This window comes from Homo sapiens, chromosome 12 (assembly GCF_000001405.40).
Source record: "Homo sapiens chromosome 12, GRCh38.p14 Primary Assembly".
Classification (NCBI taxonomy): Eukaryota; Metazoa; Chordata; class Mammalia; order Primates; family Hominidae; genus Homo; species Homo sapiens.
The window spans coordinates 49,021,956-49,041,615 of record NC_000012.12 but is presented as its reverse complement, the minus strand read 5'-3'; the positions used below and the strand labels follow the sequence as shown (position 1 = coordinate 49,041,615).

Below are 19,660 nucleotides of genomic sequence, written 5' to 3'. Positions count from 1 at the left end.
GGTGGCCTCTCTTGAGGGTGGAGGGCCATGGGGCCTGCCTGCAGCAGCCTGACTGCCCTATGCCTGGTCTCCCCCTGTAGCAGGCTGAGAGCCAGATCAACAAGCAGACCAAGGTGGGCGACATAGCCCGTAAGACTGACCGACCGGCCCTACATCTCCGCATTCCCCCGCAGCCAGGGGCACTGGGCAGCCCGCCCCCCGCTGCTGCCCCCACCATTTTCATTGGCAGCCCCACTACCCCCGCCGGCTTGTCTACCTCTGCGGACGGGTTCCTGAAGCCGCCGGCGGGCTCGGTGCCTGGCCCTGACTCGCCTGGTGAGCTCTTCCTCAAGCTCCCACCCCAGGTGCCCGCCCAAGTGCCTTCGCAGGACCCCTTTGGACTGGCCCCTGCCTATCCCCTGGAGCCCCGCTTCCCCACGGCACCGCCCACCTATCCCCCCTATCCTAGTCCTACGGGGGCCCCTGCGCAGCCCCCGATGCTGGGCGCCTCATCTCGTCCTGGGGCTGGCCAGCCAGGGGAATTCCACACTACCCCACCTGGCACCCCCAGACACCAGCCCTCCACACCTGACCCATTCCTCAAACCCCGCTGCCCCTCGCTGGATAACTTGGCTGTGCCTGAGAGCCCTGGGGTAGGGGGAGGCAAAGCTTCCGAGCCCCTGCTCTCGCCCCCACCTTTTGGGGAGTCCCGGAAGGCCCTAGAGGTGAAGAAGGAAGAGCTTGGGGCATCCTCTCCTAGCTATGGGCCCCCAAACCTGGGCTTTGTTGACTCACCCTCCTCAGGCACCCACCTGGGTGGCCTGGAGTTAAAGACACCTGATGTCTTCAAAGCCCCCCTGACCCCTCGGGCATCTCAGGTAGAGCCCCAGAGCCCGGGCTTGGGCCTAAGGCCCCAGGAGCCACCCCCTGCCCAGGCTTTGGCACCTTCTCCTCCAAGTCACCCAGACATCTTTCGCCCTGGCTCCTACACTGACCCATATGCTCAGCCCCCATTGACTCCTCGGCCCCAACCTCCGCCCCCTGAGAGCTGCTGTGCTCTGCCCCCTCGCTCACTGCCCTCCGACCCTTTCTCCCGAGTGCCTGCCAGTCCTCAGTCCCAGTCCAGCTCCCAGTCTCCACTGACACCCCGGCCTCTGTCTGCTGAAGCTTTTTGCCCATCACCCGTTACCCCTCGCTTCCAGTCCCCTGACCCTTATTCTCGCCCACCCTCACGCCCTCAGTCCCGTGACCCATTTGCCCCATTGCATAAGCCACCCCGACCCCAGCCCCCTGAAGTTGCCTTTAAGGCTGGGTCTCTAGCCCACACTTCGCTGGGGGCTGGGGGGTTCCCAGCAGCCCTGCCCGCGGGGCCAGCAGGTGAGCTCCATGCCAAGGTCCCAAGTGGGCAGCCCCCCAATTTTGTCCGGTCCCCTGGGACGGGTGCATTTGTGGGCACCCCCTCTCCCATGCGTTTCACTTTCCCTCAGGCAGTAGGGGAGCCTTCCCTAAAGCCCCCTGTCCCTCAGCCTGGTCTCCCGCCACCCCATGGGATCAACAGCCATTTTGGGCCCGGCCCCACCTTGGGCAAGCCTCAAAGCACAAACTACACAGTAGCCACAGGGAACTTCCACCCATCGGGCAGCCCCCTGGGGCCCAGCAGCGGGTCCACAGGGGAGAGCTATGGGCTGTCCCCACTACGCCCTCCGTCGGTTCTGCCACCACCTGCACCCGACGGATCCCTCCCCTACCTGTCCCATGGAGCCTCACAGCGATCAGGCATCACCTCTCCTGTCGAAAAGCGAGAAGACCCAGGGACTGGAATGGGTAGCTCTTTGGCGACAGCTGAACTCCCAGGTACCCAGGACCCAGGCATGTCCGGCCTTAGCCAAACAGAGCTGGAGAAGCAACGGCAGGTAAGTTGACACCCTGGAGCTAAGCCCCCTATATCGCTCCTGTCTCTGGGGCAGCCCTATGATTGGAGTAGAATGGGCTTATTCCTCTTCTCTTTTTTTTGCATAGCGCCAGCGACTACGAGAGCTGCTGATTCGGCAGCAGATCCAGCGCAACACCCTGCGGCAGGAGAAGGAAACAGCTGCAGCAGCTGCAGGAGCAGTGGGGCCTCCAGGCAGCTGGGGTGCTGAGCCCAGCAGCCCTGCCTTTGAGCAGCTGAGTCGAGGCCAGACCCCCTTTGCTGGGACACAGGTAGGTAGAGTGGCAAGGGATAGTGGGGCCAGGATATTGAAGGTTGCTCCACCTTCATCTACCTTGTCTCTTCTAGGACAAGAGCAGCCTTGTGGGGTTGCCCCCAAGCAAGCTGAGTGGCCCCATCCTGGGGCCAGGGTCCTTCCCTAGCGATGACCGACTCTCCCGGCCACCTCCACCAGCCACGCCTTCCTCTATGGATGTGAACAGCCGGTGAGGCTCCAGGAGGTTCCCTGGGGGTAAACCAAGGGGGATGGATTTTATCACTGTTGGAAGCTCTTGTGATTTTCCTGTATCACTAATCCTTTTCCAGTATCACTTTCTCTTCTTCCTCATTCCTTTTCTCCCTCACTGCATTAATTCTATCCTTCCTCACTGCCCTAAGCCCATGTTCTTGCTCCTTTTCATCTGATTTCATCCTACTGACTACTGTATATTCTTCCAGGCAACTGGTAGGAGGCTCCCAAGCTTTCTATCAGCGAGCACCCTATCCTGGGTCCCTGCCCTTACAGCAGCAACAGCAACAACTGTGGCAGCAACAACAGGCAACAGCAGCAACCTCCATGCGATTTGCCATGTCAGCTCGCTTTCCATCAACTCCTGGACCTGAACTTGGCCGCCAAGCCCTAGGTTCCCCGTTGGCGGGAATTTCCACCCGTCTGCCAGGCCCTGGTGAGCCAGTGCCTGGTCCAGCTGGTCCTGCCCAGTTCATTGAGCTGCGGCACAATGTACAGAAAGGACTGGGACCTGGGGGCACTCCGTTTCCTGGTCAGGGCCCACCTCAGAGACCCCGTTTTTACCCTGTAAGTGAGGACCCCCACCGACTGGCTCCTGAAGGGCTTCGGGGCCTGGCGGTATCAGGTCTTCCCCCACAGAAACCCTCAGCCCCACCGGCCCCTGAATTGAACAACAGTCTTCATCCAACACCCCACACCAAGGGTCCTACCCTGCCAACTGGTTTGGAGCTGGTCAACCGGCCCCCGTCGAGCACTGAGCTTGGCCGCCCCAATCCTCTGGCCCTGGAAGCTGGGAAGTTGCCCTGTGAGGATCCCGAGCTGGATGACGATTTTGATGCCCACAAGGCCCTAGAGGATGATGAAGAGCTTGCTCACCTGGGTCTGGGTGTGGATGTGGCCAAGGGTGATGATGAACTTGGCACCTTAGAAAACCTGGAGACCAATGACCCCCACTTGGATGACCTGCTCAATGGAGACGAGTTTGACCTGCTGGCATATACTGATCCTGAGCTGGACACTGGGGACAAGAAGGATATCTTCAATGAGCACCTGAGGCTGGTAGAATCGGCTAATGAGAAGGCTGAACGGGAGGCCCTGCTGCGGGGGGTGGAGCCAGGACCCTTGGGCCCTGAGGAGCGCCCTCCCCCTGCTGCTGATGCCTCTGAACCCCGCCTGGCATCTGTGCTCCCTGAGGTGAAGCCCAAGGTGGAGGAGGGTGGACGCCACCCTTCTCCTTGCCAATTCACCATTGCTACCCCCAAGGTAGAGCCCGCACCTGCTGCCAATTCCCTTGGCCTGGGGCTAAAGCCAGGACAGAGCATGATGGGCAGCCGGGATACCCGGATGGGCACAGGGCCATTTTCTAGCAGTGGGCACACAGCTGAGAAGGCCTCCTTTGGGGCCACGGGAGGACCACCAGCTCACCTGCTGACCCCCAGCCCACTGAGTGGCCCAGGAGGATCCTCCCTGCTGGAAAAGTTTGAGCTCGAGAGTGGGGCTTTGACCTTGCCTGGTGGACCTGCAGCATCTGGGGATGAGCTAGACAAGATGGAGAGCTCACTGGTAGCCAGCGAGTTACCCCTGCTCATTGAGGACCTGTTGGAGCATGAGAAGAAGGAGCTGCAGAAGAAGCAGCAGCTTTCAGCACAGTTGCAGCCTGCCCAGCAGCAGCAGCAACAGCAGCAGCAGCATTCCCTACTGTCTGCACCAGGCCCTGCCCAGGCCATGTCTTTGCCACATGAGGGCTCTTCTCCCAGTTTGGCTGGGTCCCAACAGCAGCTTTCCCTGGGTCTTGCAGGTGCCCGACAGCCAGGTTTGCCCCAGCCACTGATGCCCACCCAGCCACCAGCTCATGCCCTCCAGCAACGCCTGGCTCCATCCATGGCTATGGTGTCCAATCAAGGGCATATGCTAAGTGGGCAGCATGGAGGGCAGGCAGGCTTGGTACCCCAGCAGAGCTCACAGCCAGTGCTATCACAGAAGCCCATGGGCACCATGCCACCTTCCATGTGCATGAAGCCGCAGCAATTGGCAATGCAGCAGCAGCTGGCAAACAGCTTCTTCCCAGATACAGGTAACCTCAGCTGGTAACATAGCCAAGTTACTCAGGGTGATTATTGTTATCCCTAAATGGGCACTGAGGCTAGAGACCTCAGATAATCCCTACTTAAGATGGGACACAAAGAACTTTGGCTAAATATCATACTAGTGGTAGAGGCAGAAACACTGTAGCTTTTAAGAAGAGAGAGAACAGTTCCTGGCATATAGTAGGCATGTAGCAGATGTTTGAATAAATGGAATGAATGTATGAATGAAGCCTAATTAGCAGAGCCTTTGTAGCTGTAGTGAAGTTGAAAGCTTAAGACTTGAAGAGAAGTGGTGCAAAAAAAAGCAGTTGAGGCCAGGCACAATGGCTCATGCCTGTAATCCCAGCACTTTGGGAGACCAAGGCAGGTGGATCACTTAAGATCAGGAGTTCAAGACCAGCCTGGCCAAGATGATGAAACCCCATCTCTACTAAACATACAAAAATTAGCTGGGTGTGAGCCGGGCGCGGTGGTGCATCCCTGTAATCCCAGCTACTCGGGAGGCTGAGGCAGGAGAGTTGATTGAACCCATGAGGCAGAGGTTGTGGTGAGCCGAGATCGCCTCATTGCACTCCAGCCTGGGCAACAAGAGCGAAACTCCATCTCAAAAAAAAAAAAAAAAAAAAAAAAAAATTAGCTGGGTGTGGTGGTGCACGCCTGTAGTTCCAGCTACTCGAGAGGCTGAGGCAGGAGAATTGCTTGAACCCAGGAGGTGGAGGTTGCAGTTAGCTGAGATCACGCCATTGCACTTCAGGCTGGGCAACAGAGCGAGACTCTGTCTTAAAAAAAAAAAAAAAAGCGATTGGGATAGGTGAAAAAGTTCATTGAGGCTGCAATGGTGGGAAAACCTATGGGATGTTTCAAGAACAGTGAGTGAATTGGTTAGGCTGGAGTAAACTGTTTCGAGTGAAGTAAGTGACATAATTTTGGTGAGATAAGATGGGGGCCAGATTGAAAAAGACCTCAAATTATAATAGCATTTATTGAGTAATTACTATTTGCCAAGGAGTTTACTGAGCACTTTATACTTTTTGTCCAATTTAATCATTATAGCAGACTCATTAAATAGGTATTGTTATTATCTTTGATTACAGAAGAGGAAACAGAAGTGGAGGTTAAGTAACTTGTCCAAGATTACACAGCAGCTAGCAGAGCTAGATCTGAAGTCTGGTCGGTACTCCTCTTAACTGTTTACTGCCTCAGGATTCCAGGAGAGGGAGTTTGGGTTAGTCCTTAAGAAAGTGGGAGCTCTGGCCAGGTGCTGTGGCTCACGCCTTTAATCCCAGCACTTTGGGAGGCTGAGGCGGGTGGATCACCTGAGGTCAGGAGTTCCAGACCAGCCTGGCCAACATGGTGAAACCTCGTTTCTACTAAAAATACAAAAATTAGCTGGGCTTGGTGGTGGGCACCTGTAATCACAGCTACTCGGCAGGCTGAGGCAGGAGAATCGCTTGAACCCAGGAAGCAGAGGTTGCAGTGAGCCTAAATTGCACCATTGCACTCCAGCCTGGGTGACAAGAGCAAGACTCTGTCTTTAAAAAAGAAAAGAAAAGAAAAAAAGAAAGTGGATGCTCAGTTAAGTTTTCTGAGCAGTGGAGAAATATACAAAGTGTGGGATTTTAGGATGATGTAAGTTTTTGGTGGTTGGTTGTTTCTTCTTTTTTGCCCAGCATTCTAGACAGACAGGAGAGTGGACTACAGGTGATGCCCAAAACAGCTCTGGAATCTAGGGCTTTGCAACAGTGCCAGCATCTTGGGTGCTTGGGCTGTGCTAGTTGGACTAAGAACATTACCTTTGAAGAATGCTTTCCGAGTCATAAAGTGTACTTATATTCTTGTCACATTTGATCCTCTTAACACCTCTGTGAGGTAGACGGAGTAGGGATCATCATCTGTATCAAATAAAAGGGTAAACTGAGGTGAAATAACACAGGTTGACTCAACAAATATTTACGGAGCCCCTTTTTGTAGCACGGTGCAAGTAAAAACAGGCCCACATGTCCTGTGAATAGAGCTGATTCACCCAGGCCGACTGGCTCCTAATTCAGTGGTCTTTCTGCCTTGCCGTGCCATTGTTCTGCCTGGCGTGGTTGAAGTCAGGATGTTGAAGGGAATCGCAGATATTCACTGGAGCATTGGCCCCATAGCCCAGCTCACTTGGTTCTCCCCTCTCCAGACCTGGACAAATTTGCTGCAGAAGATATCATTGATCCCATTGCAAAGGCCAAGATGGTGGCTTTGAAAGGCATCAAGAAAGTGATGGCTCAGGGCAGCATTGGGGTGGCACCTGGTATGAACAGGTAAGACTCAGGGCTGGAATGGGGTTGGCCCTTTTCTTTCCCAGTCACACCCCTTCTTGGCTCCCCTCCCTACTTGTCCCACGTCTCTTTGCTTTCCAACTTTCTTATTGCCAACACTTATCTTCTGTGCTTTGGTGGACTCCAGACAGCAAGTGTCTCTGCTAGCCCAGAGGCTCTCGGGGGGACCTAGCAGTGATCTGCAGAACCATGTGGCAGCTGGGAGTGGCCAGGTAAGTGGTCAGGTGGGAGTAGGAACTTGTGTCTTATGCCACTGGGCCACCCTTCTTAGGGCCTAGCAGGGAACAATGACCCTTTAGCAGCCTCTCTCATTGCAGGAGCGGAGTGCTGGTGATCCCTCCCAGCCTCGTCCCAACCCGCCCACTTTTGCTCAGGGAGTGATCAGTGAGTATGGGGCGTGGGAGGAAGGTGCAGGGGAGTGGTTTGGGTCATATGGAGGAAGAGGGATTGGGATTACCCTTTTGCAGGTCCTGACACCCAGCTTCTTTTCCCAGATGAAGCTGACCAGCGGCAGTATGAGGAGTGGCTGTTCCATACCCAGCAGCTCCTACAGATGCAGCTGAAGGTGCTAGAGGAGCAGATTGGTGTACACCGCAAGTCCCGGAAGGCTCTGTGTGCCAAGCAGCGCACTGCCAAAAAAGCTGGCCGTGAGTTCCCAGAAGCTGATGCTGAGAAGCTCAAGCTGGTTACAGAGCAGCAGAGCAAGATCCAGAAACAACTGGATCAGGTGGGGGAAAGCAAACTTCAGCCTAGCACCCAGAAGGCAGGGAAGAGGGTTGGCATGGGGGGAGCATGCCCCAGCCTGACCTCTCCGACCCTCCCATGTTAGGTCCGGAAACAGCAGAAGGAGCACACTAATCTCATGGCAGAATATCGGAACAAGCAGCAGCAACAACAGCAGCAGCAGCAGCAACAACAGCAACAGCACTCAGCTGTGCTGGCTCTCAGCCCTTCCCAGAGTCCCCGGCTGCTCACCAAGCTCCCTGGTCAGCTGCTCCCTGGCCATGGGCTGCAGCCACCACAGGGGCCTCCGGGTGGGCAAGCCGGAGGTCTTCGCCTGACCCCTGGGGGTATGGCACTACCTGGACAGCCTGGTGGCCCCTTCCTTAATACAGCTCTGGCCCAACAGCAGCAACAGCAACATTCTGGTGGGGCTGGATCCCTGGCTGGCCCTTCAGGGGGCTTCTTCCCTGGCAACCTTGCTCTTCGAAGCCTCGGACCTGATTCAAGGCTTTTACAGGAAAGGCAGCTGCAGCTGCAGCAGCAACGTATGCAGCTGGCCCAGAAACTGCAGCAGCAGCAGCAGCAGCAACAGCAGCAGCAGCACCTTCTAGGACAGGTGGCAATCCAGCAGCAACAGCAGCAGGGTCCTGGAGTACAGACAAACCAAGCTCTGGGTCCCAAGCCCCAGGGCCTTATGCCTCCCAGCAGCCACCAAGGCCTCCTGGTCCAGCAGCTGTCCCCTCAACCACCCCAGGGGCCCCAGGGCATGCTGGGCCCTGCCCAGGTGGCTGTGTTGCAGCAGCAGCACCCTGGAGCTTTGGGCCCCCAGGGCCCTCACAGACAGGTGCTTATGACCCAGTCCCGGGTGCTCAGTTCCCCCCAGCTGGCACAGCAGGGTCAGGGCCTTATGGGACACAGGCTGGTCACAGCCCAGCAGCAGCAGCAGCAACAACAGCACCAACAGCAAGGGTCCATGGCAGGGCTGTCCCATCTTCAGCAGAGTCTGATGTCACACAGTGGGCAGCCCAAACTGAGCGCTCAGCCCATGGGCTCTTTACAGCAGCTTCAGCAGCAGCAGCAGCTGCAACAGCAACAGCAACTTCAGCAGCAGCAGCAGCAGCAGCTACAACAGCAACAGCAACTTCAGCAGCAACAGCTTCAACAGCAGCAACAGCAGCAGCAGCTTCAACAACAGCAGCAGCAACAGCTTCAACAGCAGCAACAGCAGCTACAACAGCAACAGCAACAACAACAGCAGCAGTTTCAACAGCAGCAGCAACAGCAGCAGATGGGCCTTTTAAACCAGAGTCGAACTTTACTGTCTCCTCAGCAACAACAGCAGCAGCAAGTGGCACTTGGCCCTGGCATGCCAGCAAAGCCTCTTCAACACTTTTCTAGCCCTGGAGCCCTGGGTCCAACCCTCCTCCTGACGGGCAAGGAACAAAACACCGTAGACCCAGCCGTTTCTTCAGAGGCCACTGAGGGGCCCTCTACACATCAGGGAGGGCCGTTAGCAATAGGAACTACCCCTGAGTCAATGGCCACTGAACCAGGAGAGGTAAAGCCCTCACTCTCTGGGGACTCACAACTCCTGCTTGTCCAACCCCAGCCCCAGCCTCAGCCCAGCTCTCTGCAGCTGCAGCCACCTCTGAGGCTTCCAGGACAACAGCAGCAGCAAGTTAGCCTGCTCCACACAGCAGGTGGAGGAAGCCATGGGCAGCTAGGCAGTGGATCATCTTCTGAGGCCTCATCTGTGCCCCACCTGCTGGCTCAGCCCTCTGTTTCCTTAGGGGATCAGCCTGGGTCCATGACCCAGAACCTTCTGGGCCCCCAACAGCCCATGCTAGAGCGGCCCATGCAAAATAATACAGGGCCACAACCTCCCAAACCAGGACCTGTCCTCCAGTCTGGGCAGGGTCTGCCTGGGGTTGGAATCATGCCTACGGTGGGTCAGCTTCGAGCACAGCTCCAAGGAGTCCTGGCCAAAAACCCACAGCTGCGGCACTTAAGTCCTCAGCAGCAGCAGCAGCTACAGGCACTCCTCATGCAGCGGCAGCTGCAGCAGAGTCAGGCAGTACGCCAGACCCCACCCTACCAGGAGCCTGGGACCCAGACCTCTCCCCTCCAGGGCCTCCTGGGCTGCCAACCTCAACTTGGGGGCTTCCCTGGACCACAGACAGGCCCCCTCCAGGAGCTAGGGGCAGGGCCTCGACCTCAGGGCCCACCCCGGCTCCCTGCCCCACCAGGAGCCTTATCTACAGGACCAGTCCTTGGCCCTGTCCATCCCACACCTCCACCATCCAGCCCTCAAGAGCCAAAGAGACCTTCACAATTACCTTCCCCCAGCTCCCAGCTTCCCACTGAGGCCCAGCTCCCTCCCACCCATCCAGGGACCCCCAAACCTCAGGGGCCAACCTTGGAGCCGCCTCCTGGGAGGGTCTCACCTGCTGCTGCCCAGCTTGCAGATACCTTGTTTAGCAAGGGTCTGGGACCTTGGGATCCCCCAGACAACCTAGCAGAAACCCAGAAGCCAGAGCAGAGCAGCCTGGTACCTGGGCATCTGGACCAGGTGAATGGACAGGTGGTGCCTGAGGCATCCCAACTCAGCATCAAGCAGGAACCTCGGGAAGAGCCATGTGCCCTGGGAGCCCAGTCAGTGAAGAGGGAGGCCAATGGGGAGCCAATAGGGGCACCAGGAACCAGCAACCACCTCCTGCTGGCAGGCCCTCGCTCAGAAGCTGGGCATCTGCTCTTGCAGAAGCTACTCCGGGCAAAGAATGTGCAACTCAGCACTGGGCGGGGGTCCGAGGGGCTGCGAGCTGAGATCAACGGGCACATTGACAGCAAGCTGGCTGGGCTGGAGCAGAAACTACAGGGTACCCCCAGCAACAAGGAGGTGAGTACTCTGAGTAGAGTGGAGCAGGTAGAGTGGGTCCTAGAGCCAGCGGGGGGCAGAATGAGTGAGCCTGGGTCAGACAGAAGAGATGAGGGCTCTGAGGAGGAGGGTAGCAGCCTTCAATGGGCTTATTTGGCTTAGGATGCAGCAGCAAGGAAGCCTTTGACACCGAAGCCCAAGCGGGTACAGAAGGCAAGCGACAGGTTGGTGAGCTCCCGAAAGAAGCTGCGGAAGGAGGACGGGGTCAGGGCCAGCGAGGCCTTGCTGAAACAGCTGAAACAGGTGACCCCCCAGGAGACAGTCCCCCTGGTCCCATCCCAGGATAGGGGGCACCCTGTCCCCCAGCTGTGCAAGACAGCGATGCAAACGCTGCAGGTTTTGAACTTTGTCATCTTGCCCCTTGTAGGAGCTGTCCCTGCTGCCCCTAACGGAGCCTGCTATCACCGCCAATTTTAGCCTCTTTGCCCCCTTTGGCAGTGGCTGCCCAGTCAATGGGCAGAGCCAGCTGAGGGGGGCCTTTGGAAGTGGGGCGCTGCCCACTGGCCCTGACTACTATTCCCAGCTGCTTACCAAGGTCAGAAAAATGGCAATATTTTTTGGGAATAGTGAAGTTCTTGGGAAGGTGAGGGTGGGAATAGAAAACTTGAGGGAATTGCTGACGTAGAGTGGGGCCAGGAGATTATATCAGTCTCCCTATGCCATCTTGCACACAACACCCCACCCCCCACCCCTCAGAATAACCTGAGTAACCCGCCGACACCACCCTCGTCGCTGCCCCCCACCCCACCCCCATCGGTGCAGCAGAAGATGGTGAATGGCGTCACCCCATCTGAAGAGCTGGGGGAGCACCCCAAGGATGCTGCCTCTGCCCGGGATAGTGAAAGGGCACTGAGGGGTAAGTCAAGAGCAGATGCCACCCCTGGTGGAGTTTGGTAGCTGGAGTCCAAACCAGTTAGTATGCTGTACAGTTTAGAAATTAGTGGGTTGCCTGCTGTCCTGTGTGTTTACATAACAGGGCACCTGAGGTAGGAAGGGCCCTTTCAGGACTGATTTCTTGGGGGCCAGAATGGACATTTGGAGTCTAGAGCAAATGCAATAGGAGAGGTGGGTGGCAGGGAGCATCTTTATGAAGCTTTGTATAGAAGGAACAGTCCAGCTTTAGTGAGTGTGGAGCTAGACTCTGATCTGGATTTGAATTCTGGTTCCTGCATTCATTCAACTGTGTTACTGTATCCAAGTAACTTGATTGACTTGTGTGAGCCTCAGTTTCCTCACTGTAAAATGGCTATTGTAGTACTCACTTAATGGAGTTATTAAATGACTAAACAAACTCCAAAGAGTATATCTAAAGCCAGCTGCCACCAGGCCTGGTAGCTTATGCCTGTAATCCCAACATTTTGGGAGGCCAAGATGGAAGGATTGCTTGAGGCCAGGAGTTCGAGACCAGCTTGGGCAATATAACAAGACCCCATCTCTACGGGAAAAAAAAAAAAAAAACAAAAAAAACAAAAAACAACAGTGCCTGGCATGCAGGACAGACTCAATAAATATACCTTGTTTGCCCCAAACTGGTAGGTGGGAGGACAGCTAATCATGATAGCTGAGATCTCATGCTAATTAGGCCTAAAATATTGGGAGAAGGTACCATCAGCCCTGGCCACCCTCACCTGACTTTTCTTCTCCCTACCCACCCCTCAGATACTTCAGAGGTGAAGAGTCTAGACCTGCTGGCTGCCTTGCCTACACCCCCTCACAATCAGACTGAGGATGTCAGGTAGGGGCGGGGCCAGAAATGGGGATGAGGAACAAGGGTGGGGTACAGGTTGCCTCATATTTCCTTTGGCCAATGGAGATTTCAAGTAAGACATCTATTCATCTCTAGATTTGGGAGGGGAGTCTGCAGGGCTGTAGCAACAAATGTCTACTTTTGGTCCCCAGGATGGAGAGTGATGAGGATAGCGATTCTCCTGACAGCATTGTGCCAGCTTCATCCCCTGAGAGCATCTTGGGGGAGGAGGCCCCTCGTTTCCCTCATCTGGGCTCAGGCCGGTGGGAGCAAGAGGACCGGGCCCTCTCCCCTGTCATCCCCCTCATTCCTCGGGCCAGCATCCCAGGTATGTGCTACTCTGGATGTGGGCCAGGCCCAGTTCACCTGGGTTGTCCGAAGCTGGGGGAGAGGCGGCCAAGTGTTACACAAATTCCTCTTTCTCATTCAGTCTTCCCAGATACCAAACCTTATGGGGCCCTTGGCCTGGAGGTCCCTGGAAAGCTGCCTGTCACAACTTGGGAAAAGGGCAAAGGAAGTGAGGTGTCAGTCATGCTCACAGTCTCTGCTGCTGCAGCCAAGGTGTGTCCTAGGGGTACCTCGAGGCTGAGGGGAACCTGATCAGAGGGCAGTCCCTGGAATTTGTCTGGATAAGGAAAAATGTAGTCGTTCAAGCACATGTACTGAGTACCTATTGTATGTGAAAGCCTGGGCTAGAGGCTGTGAGATTCGGGTAAATGAATCATGGTTCCTGCCCTCACGGGGCTCGTAGTCCCATGGTAAAGACAGACAAGTCAACAACTAAGGAGCACCTGTGTGTGTAATGACACAGGTACTACATGACAGCATTGCCCCAGTCATGTTTGGTGGGACTCTGTCAGCTGTTTTGAAAATATTAACGGGCTTTTGTGGTCAAAGAAAGTTGGAAAACACAGTTAAAATGACAATATGGGTTTCTTTACTACAAGAGTCCTCAGGTCCTTTTAATTTGCTAACGTGTATCATGAGCCTCCAAGTCATGGATAGAGCATGCATCATTTCCTAAACGTAGTTGATGTAGTTCCCTTTTCGTGGAGCTCCCGTCAGTGCCCACAGCAGTTTGGGAAAGGCTGCTGTGAGGGAAGTGTATGAAAAGAGCTGGGTGACATAGGATAGAACTACCCTGGGGAGTGGGTTCTAGGTGTCCTTGTCCCCACCCAGCTGGTAGTAGAGCTCACCTCAGACACTTGGCTGATATGTTTCTTCCATCCCTTCCCTGGCCCTGGCAGAACCTGAATGGCGTGATGGTGGCAGTGGCGGAGCTGCTGAGCATGAAGATCCCCAACTCCTATGAGGTGCTGTTCCCAGAGAGCCCCGCCCGGGCAGGCACTGAGCCAAAGAAGGGGGAAGCTGAGGGTCCTGGTGAGTGTGGCAGGGAAGCCCTTTGGGACTTGAGGGGAGTGATTCTGGTGGGAGGCTCTGATCCACTCCTTTCTGCAGGTGGGAAGGAAAAGGGTCTGGAAGGCAAGAGCCCAGACACTGGCCCTGATTGGCTGAAGCAGTTTGATGCAGTGTTGCCTGGCTATACCCTGAAGAGCCAACTAGACATCTTGAGCCTCCTGAAACAGGTAGGTCTGGGGGAGAAAAAGGGGTGGGTGTTAGAAAAAAGGGGCTGCCGGCCAGGCGCGGTGGCTCACATCTGTAATCCCAGTGCTTTGGGAGGCAAGGCGAGTGAATCACTTTAGGCCAGGAGTTTGAGACCAGCCTGGCCAACATGGCGAAACCCCGTCTCTACTAAAAACAAAAACAAAACAGTAGCCAGGCGTGATGGTGCGTGCCTGTAATCCCAGCTACTCGAAAGGCTGAGGCATGAGAATCCCTTGAACCCAGGAGGCAGAGGTTGCAGTGAGCCAAGATTGTGCCACTGGATCCAGCCTGGGCAACAGAGCAAGACTGTGTCTCAAAAAAAAAAGAAAAGAAAAGAAAAAAGAGGCTGTCTAGGGCAAAGAATGTGGAGGCCTTTTGGGAGGGTGGCATATGGGTGAGGGGAAGGAGGGAGCTAGTTAGATGAGGAGCTGGCACTAATGATACAGGGCACCCTCCTACAGGAGAGCCCCGCCCCAGAGCCACCCACTCAGCACAGCTATACCTACAATGTCTCCAATCTGGATGTGCGACAGCTCTCGGCCCCACCTCCTGAAGAACCCTCCCCGCCCCCTTCCCCCTTGGCACCTTCTCCTGCCAGTCCCCCTACTGAGCCCTTGGTTGAACTTCCCACCGAACCCTTGGCTGAGCCACCCGTCCCCTCACCTCTGCCACTGGCCTCATCCCCTGAATCAGCCCGACCCAAGCCCCGTGCCCGGCCCCCTGAAGAAGGTGAAGATTCCCGTCCTCCTCGCCTCAAGAAATGGAAAGGAGTGCGCTGGAAGCGGCTTCGGCTGCTGCTGACCATCCAGAAGGGCAGTGGGCGGCAGGAGGATGAGCGGGAAGTGGCAGAGTTTATGGAGCAGCTTGGCACAGCCTTGCGACCTGACAAGGTACCGCGAGACATGCGTCGCTGCTGTTTCTGTCATGAGGAGGGTGACGGGGCCACTGATGGGCCTGCCCGTCTGCTGAACCTGGACCTGGACCTGTGGGTGCACCTCAACTGTGCCCTTTGGTCCACGGAGGTGTATGAGACCCAGGGCGGGGCACTGATGAATGTGGAGGTTGCCCTGCACCGAGGACTGCTAACCAAGTGCTCCCTGTGCCAGCGAACTGGTGCCACCAGCAGCTGCAATCGCATGCGTTGCCCCAATGTCTACCATTTTGCTTGTGCCATCCGTGCCAAGTGCATGTTCTTCAAGGACAAGACCATGCTGTGTCCAATGCATAAGATCAAGGGGCCCTGTGAGCAAGAGCTGAGCTCTTTTGCTGTCTTCCGGCGGGTCTACATTGAGCGGGACGAGGTGAAGCAAATCGCTAGCATCATTCAGCGGGGAGAACGGCTGCACATGTTCCGTGTGGGGGGCCTTGTGTTCCACGCCATCGGACAGCTGCTGCCTCACCAGATGGCTGACTTTCATAGTGCCACTGCCCTCTATCCCGTGGGCTACGAGGCCACGCGCATCTATTGGAGCCTCCGCACCAACAATCGTCGCTGCTGCTATCGCTGTTCTATTGGTGAGAACAACGGGCGGCCGGAGTTTGTAATCAAAGTCATCGAGCAGGGCCTGGAGGACCTGGTCTTCACTGACGCCTCTCCCCAGGGTGAGCAGTGGGCCCTTGAAATGGATAATATGGAATGGGAAAAGTTTCTCCCAGGGTCACTGTTACAATGTCTATAAGAGGACCTGTAGCTTCTATGTGAATGATCCTCCTTCCCCCACCTCAGGCAGGCAGGGGGTCTCTTGAAAACTCCCAGTGAAAGTGTTTGAGCCTCTCTTGTCACCCTAAATTCCCTTGTAGTTGAAAATATTTTGCTGGTCTAATCTCACATATTCTAGTTCTGTTGCTATCCCCAGTGGAACAAAAGGAAACAGTTCTGAGACTATCATCTGCCTCACCCAACCTAATCCTAACCAAGTTCCTTGGGGTTGTTTTTCCCTGGACGAAATCAGAATTATTTTGATTTTAGTTTTAGTGTTAATGATAAAATAACAGTAAGAGCAGGTACCTTTTTTTGAGTGTGTACTGTGAGCCACAAACTAAGCTAAGTGATTTGTGTAGTTTATTTTGTTCATACAACCCTATGAGGTAAGTATTATACTACGATTATGCCCAGTTTGTTCATAAAGAAACTGAGTCTCAGATTTCAGTACAGTCGTGCATTGCTAAATGACAGGGATACATTCTGAGAAATGCATTGTTAGGTGATTTTGTCATTGTGTGAACTTCATAGAGTGTACTACACAAACCTAGATGGCATAGCATACTACACACCTAGGCTCTGCGGTATACCCCATTGCTCCTAGGCTACAAATCTGTACAGCATGTAACTGTACTGAATACTGTAGGCAGTTGTAACATACGGTAAGTATGTGCATCTAGACATAGAAAAGATACAGTAAAAATACAGTACAGTATTATAATCTTACCAGACCACTGTTGTATATATGATTCCTCATTGAATGAAATGTTGTTAAGCTGCACGTGACTGTATTTGGCTCAAGGTCTCATGACCAGTACTAGAACCTGAACCCAAGTCTTTCCAACTCCAAAGCATGCCTGCTCTTTCACTAGGGACCTTCCATGGCCTATGCTGGGTCTCCTGGGCCCTGGGTTTGTATCTCAAGGCTCTGTGATGACCCCTTGGGGTTGGAAACCTCCTGCTTCTTAAGAGAGAGTGAGACTAGGAGGCCAAGAGAGGATCTGGAAGACCAACACAACTTCATGATAGGGAGGCTTGAAGGCCTCAGAAAACTGCAGTTCTGGATTGGGGTTAGGGACTGGAGGTCAGTGAGCAGAAGTTGCCTCTGAGGACTGCTCTCTTCCCTGCTTCTTAGCCGTGTGGAATCGCATCATTGAGCCTGTGGCTGCCATGAGAAAAGAGGCTGACATGCTGCGACTCTTCCCTGAGTATCTGAAGGGCGAGGAGCTCTTTGGGCTGACGGTGCATGCCGTGCTTCGCATAGCTGAATCAGTAAGGAAGGGGCTGGGAGCTGGGGGGCTTGGCGGGCACTGAGAACTTTGGCCTAACCCCAAAAAAACTCAGGCTAAGGTGAGTATGAACTGTGCCCACAGCTGCCCGGGGTGGAGAGCTGTCAAAACTATTTATTCCGCTATGGGCGCCACCCCCTTATGGAGCTGCCACTCATGATCAACCCCACTGGCTGTGCCCGATCAGAGCCTAAAATCCTCACACACTACAAACGGTGAGCTTGTGATGCTGGAGCCAAGGGATGTGGGTGTGGGTGTTGACAGGGATCCTCTGGTCCCATTATGAGGATTTAGGATACAGATCAGAGTTCCCGTGGAGAAAATGGGGAATCACTCTTAGACTTCCTAATTAGAGGGCATGCAGGTATTAGTAGGGTATCCTTTTCCTCCTCTCCCAACCTGCTCAGATGCACTTGGGATATAGGACAGAATTATCTTGGGCACCCTGGGGAGGTAATGGGTAAACTGGTGAAATTTTATGAAATATATAAGGGACTTGGTCACCTCTTTCTTCTCCTGTTTTACTTCTGGGGGAGGGCCTGTGATTCTCCCAAACCTCAGATACCCCATGGGTGCTAGGGTCACCTTCCCTTCCCCATGAGTGTTGGTGTCAAAAATAAATAGTTAGAGATATAATAGAAAAATAATAAAACCTTACATTTGTATAGCACTTTATACTTTTTTTTTCAAAGCGTTTTCACATCCATTATCTCATTTGATCCTCACAACAACCTTATGAGGTAGGTAGGGCAGGTGGTATGACCCCCATTTTACAGCTGAGAAAACTGAGACCCAGAAAGATTAAATGACTAGGCAAAGGTCACACAGCTGGGACCAGACCCTTACTTCTTCACTGCAGGTCCTTGTTCTTTCTGTGTACCAGGGACCTTAGTCCCTGGGTAGAGGGAGGCAGAATCTGTGGTAGCAGGGCTTTCTCGAAGGTCTTTGGTGGCTCCTAGGCTGTTGTAGAATGTCAGAGACTCTCCATCCCTAGCCAGCCTTGTCCTTGATGCCCTGCAATGGTGGTTTTCAAACTGTGAGTGCCTGTGTTCCAAAAAGTCCTGGATCACTTAAACTGATGGGTTGAACTTTTCCTTCCCATGCATATCTCTTCCTTCCCCAAATTGGATTAAACCAGAAGAGCTCCATTGTCATCTAGTTTATGTATTGGAGTTCCAGTCAACATTTTGTTAAAGAAAAAAGCAAAGATTTCTGCTAAATAAAAAAAGAACCAGAAACGTTTGAAAACCACTGCTCTGGGATGGCAAGAATTTGGCTGGTGCCCTAAGGTGGTAAAAGGCATCCTGCCAGGCAGCCGTCATTCCCCTGCACTGAGCCATCTGCACAGAGCCCAATGTTATGTCAGAGAAGGGGACAGTCCGAAGAAAGGATACCACCTTTAGGCTGTGAGTTCACAGCCAGTTTTAATTCAAATCTAGCCCAGCGTGGTAGGCACAGTCCCCATTTTCAGGGCTTCCAGTATGTGCAGGAGGTAGGATTCAGACATTCAAGCAAACCATCAGCTTAAATTCTAGGCCTGGGCTGCTTGCGGAAAACTTCCCAGAGGAGCATGGCCTTGAGAATGGTTTGGCAGGAGAGTGGTAGGAAGTGGGAGATGGGAGAACAGGCTCAGTGTAGGGGAATTGGTGCCCCCCATCTCCCTCCACACCCCACCCCTCACCCTGGGCTCTCTGTGCCACCCAGGGTGTCAGAAGGGTCCCTGTAGCTAGTTGCTTCCTCACCAGAGCTGAGACCCAGTTGCCTCTACTCCTTTCCCAAGGCTGCACTTCCAGTGCTTGCCAGCAGCACACGCCCCTAACTGGTGTGTTGCACATCCCAGGAGGTGGCAGAGGAGGTGGGTGGTATGTACTTGGTCTGAGGGAGAGCTGTCTTGTCATGGATTATATCACCTCCCAGGCCCCATACCCTGAACAGCACCAGCATGTCTAAGGCATATCAGAGCACCTTCACAGGCGAGACCAACACCCCCTACAGCAAGCAGTTTGTGCACTCCAAGTCATCTCAGTACCGGCGGCTGCGCACCGAATGGAAGAACAACGTGTACCTGGCTCGCTCCCGTATCCAGGGCCTGGGGCTCTATGCAGCCAAGGACCTAGAAAAGCACACAATGGTTATCGAGTACATTGGCACCATCATTCGGAACGAGGTGGCCAACCGGCGGGAGAAAATCTACGAAGAGCAGGTATGAGCTGGCAGAGGGGCCATTGTGGTGCATAGTCTGCACTCAACCAAGGAGCAAGGGCAGGATTGGTCACAGGAGAGCAGGAGGAAAGCTGTGGTGGGGAGAAGGGAAAGGCAGGAGAAATGAAGTACATGCAACAAAAGCCCCCACTGCCTGAGTCTCCTACCTGATCCCACAGCCACCACTGCCACTCTCTGATACTCTTGTCCCTTCTTCTGCAACCTCTGCCTTTCTAGAATCGAGGCATCTACATGTTCCGAATAAACAATGAACATGTGATTGATGCTACGTTGACCGGCGGCCCTGCCAGGTGAGAGATGACGAGGAAGGAGGGATTTAGTGGTCCCTGAGAGTGGCACTCTGGGGGATAGACGAACAAGGAATCAAAATTGTCCCAAGTTAGTTGCCTGACATCCCTGACTCTGTCCCACTGCCCAGGTACATTAACCATTCCTGTGCCCCTAACTGTGTGGCCGAAGTCGTGACATTTGACAAAGAGGACAAAATCATCATCATCTCCAGCCGGCGAATCCCCAAAGGAGAGGAGGTGAGAGGAAGTATCCTGACTGAGTGACAAAGCAGCTCCTCCTCCTTTCACCCCTTCTCTGCCATTCCCTAAATGTGGATTCCTAGG

The 19,660-nt window shown here is 54.4% G+C and overlaps 1 protein-coding gene across 1 annotated transcript in view; it reads left to right on the top strand.

Moving 5' to 3' along the window:
* Window positions 1-19,660, top strand: part of KMT2D (lysine methyltransferase 2D) — a 41,817-nt gene that overhangs the window by 19,179 nt on the left and 2,978 nt on the right. The window contains exons 32-54 of the mRNA NM_003482.4: window positions 81-1,892; window positions 1,999-2,181; window positions 2,258-2,394; window positions 2,627-4,491; window positions 6,681-6,804; window positions 6,950-7,034; window positions 7,140-7,206; window positions 7,317-7,549; window positions 7,652-10,441; window positions 10,583-10,723; window positions 10,848-11,015; window positions 11,177-11,336; window positions 12,140-12,215; window positions 12,380-12,555; window positions 12,658-12,788; window positions 13,475-13,607; window positions 13,686-13,813; window positions 14,294-15,434; window positions 16,670-16,806; window positions 16,908-17,038; window positions 18,741-19,026; window positions 19,263-19,336; window positions 19,465-19,573. Of these exons, the coding sequence (NP_003473.3) occupies window positions 81-1,892; window positions 1,999-2,181; window positions 2,258-2,394; window positions 2,627-4,491; window positions 6,681-6,804; window positions 6,950-7,034; window positions 7,140-7,206; window positions 7,317-7,549; window positions 7,652-10,441; window positions 10,583-10,723; window positions 10,848-11,015; window positions 11,177-11,336; window positions 12,140-12,215; window positions 12,380-12,555; window positions 12,658-12,788; window positions 13,475-13,607; window positions 13,686-13,813; window positions 14,294-15,434; window positions 16,670-16,806; window positions 16,908-17,038; window positions 18,741-19,026; window positions 19,263-19,336; window positions 19,465-19,573 (10,287 nt within the window). The remainder of the gene's footprint in view (window positions 1-80; window positions 1,893-1,998; window positions 2,182-2,257; window positions 2,395-2,626; window positions 4,492-6,680; window positions 6,805-6,949; window positions 7,035-7,139; window positions 7,207-7,316; window positions 7,550-7,651; window positions 10,442-10,582; window positions 10,724-10,847; window positions 11,016-11,176; window positions 11,337-12,139; window positions 12,216-12,379; window positions 12,556-12,657; window positions 12,789-13,474; window positions 13,608-13,685; window positions 13,814-14,293; window positions 15,435-16,669; window positions 16,807-16,907; window positions 17,039-18,740; window positions 19,027-19,262; window positions 19,337-19,464; window positions 19,574-19,660) is intronic.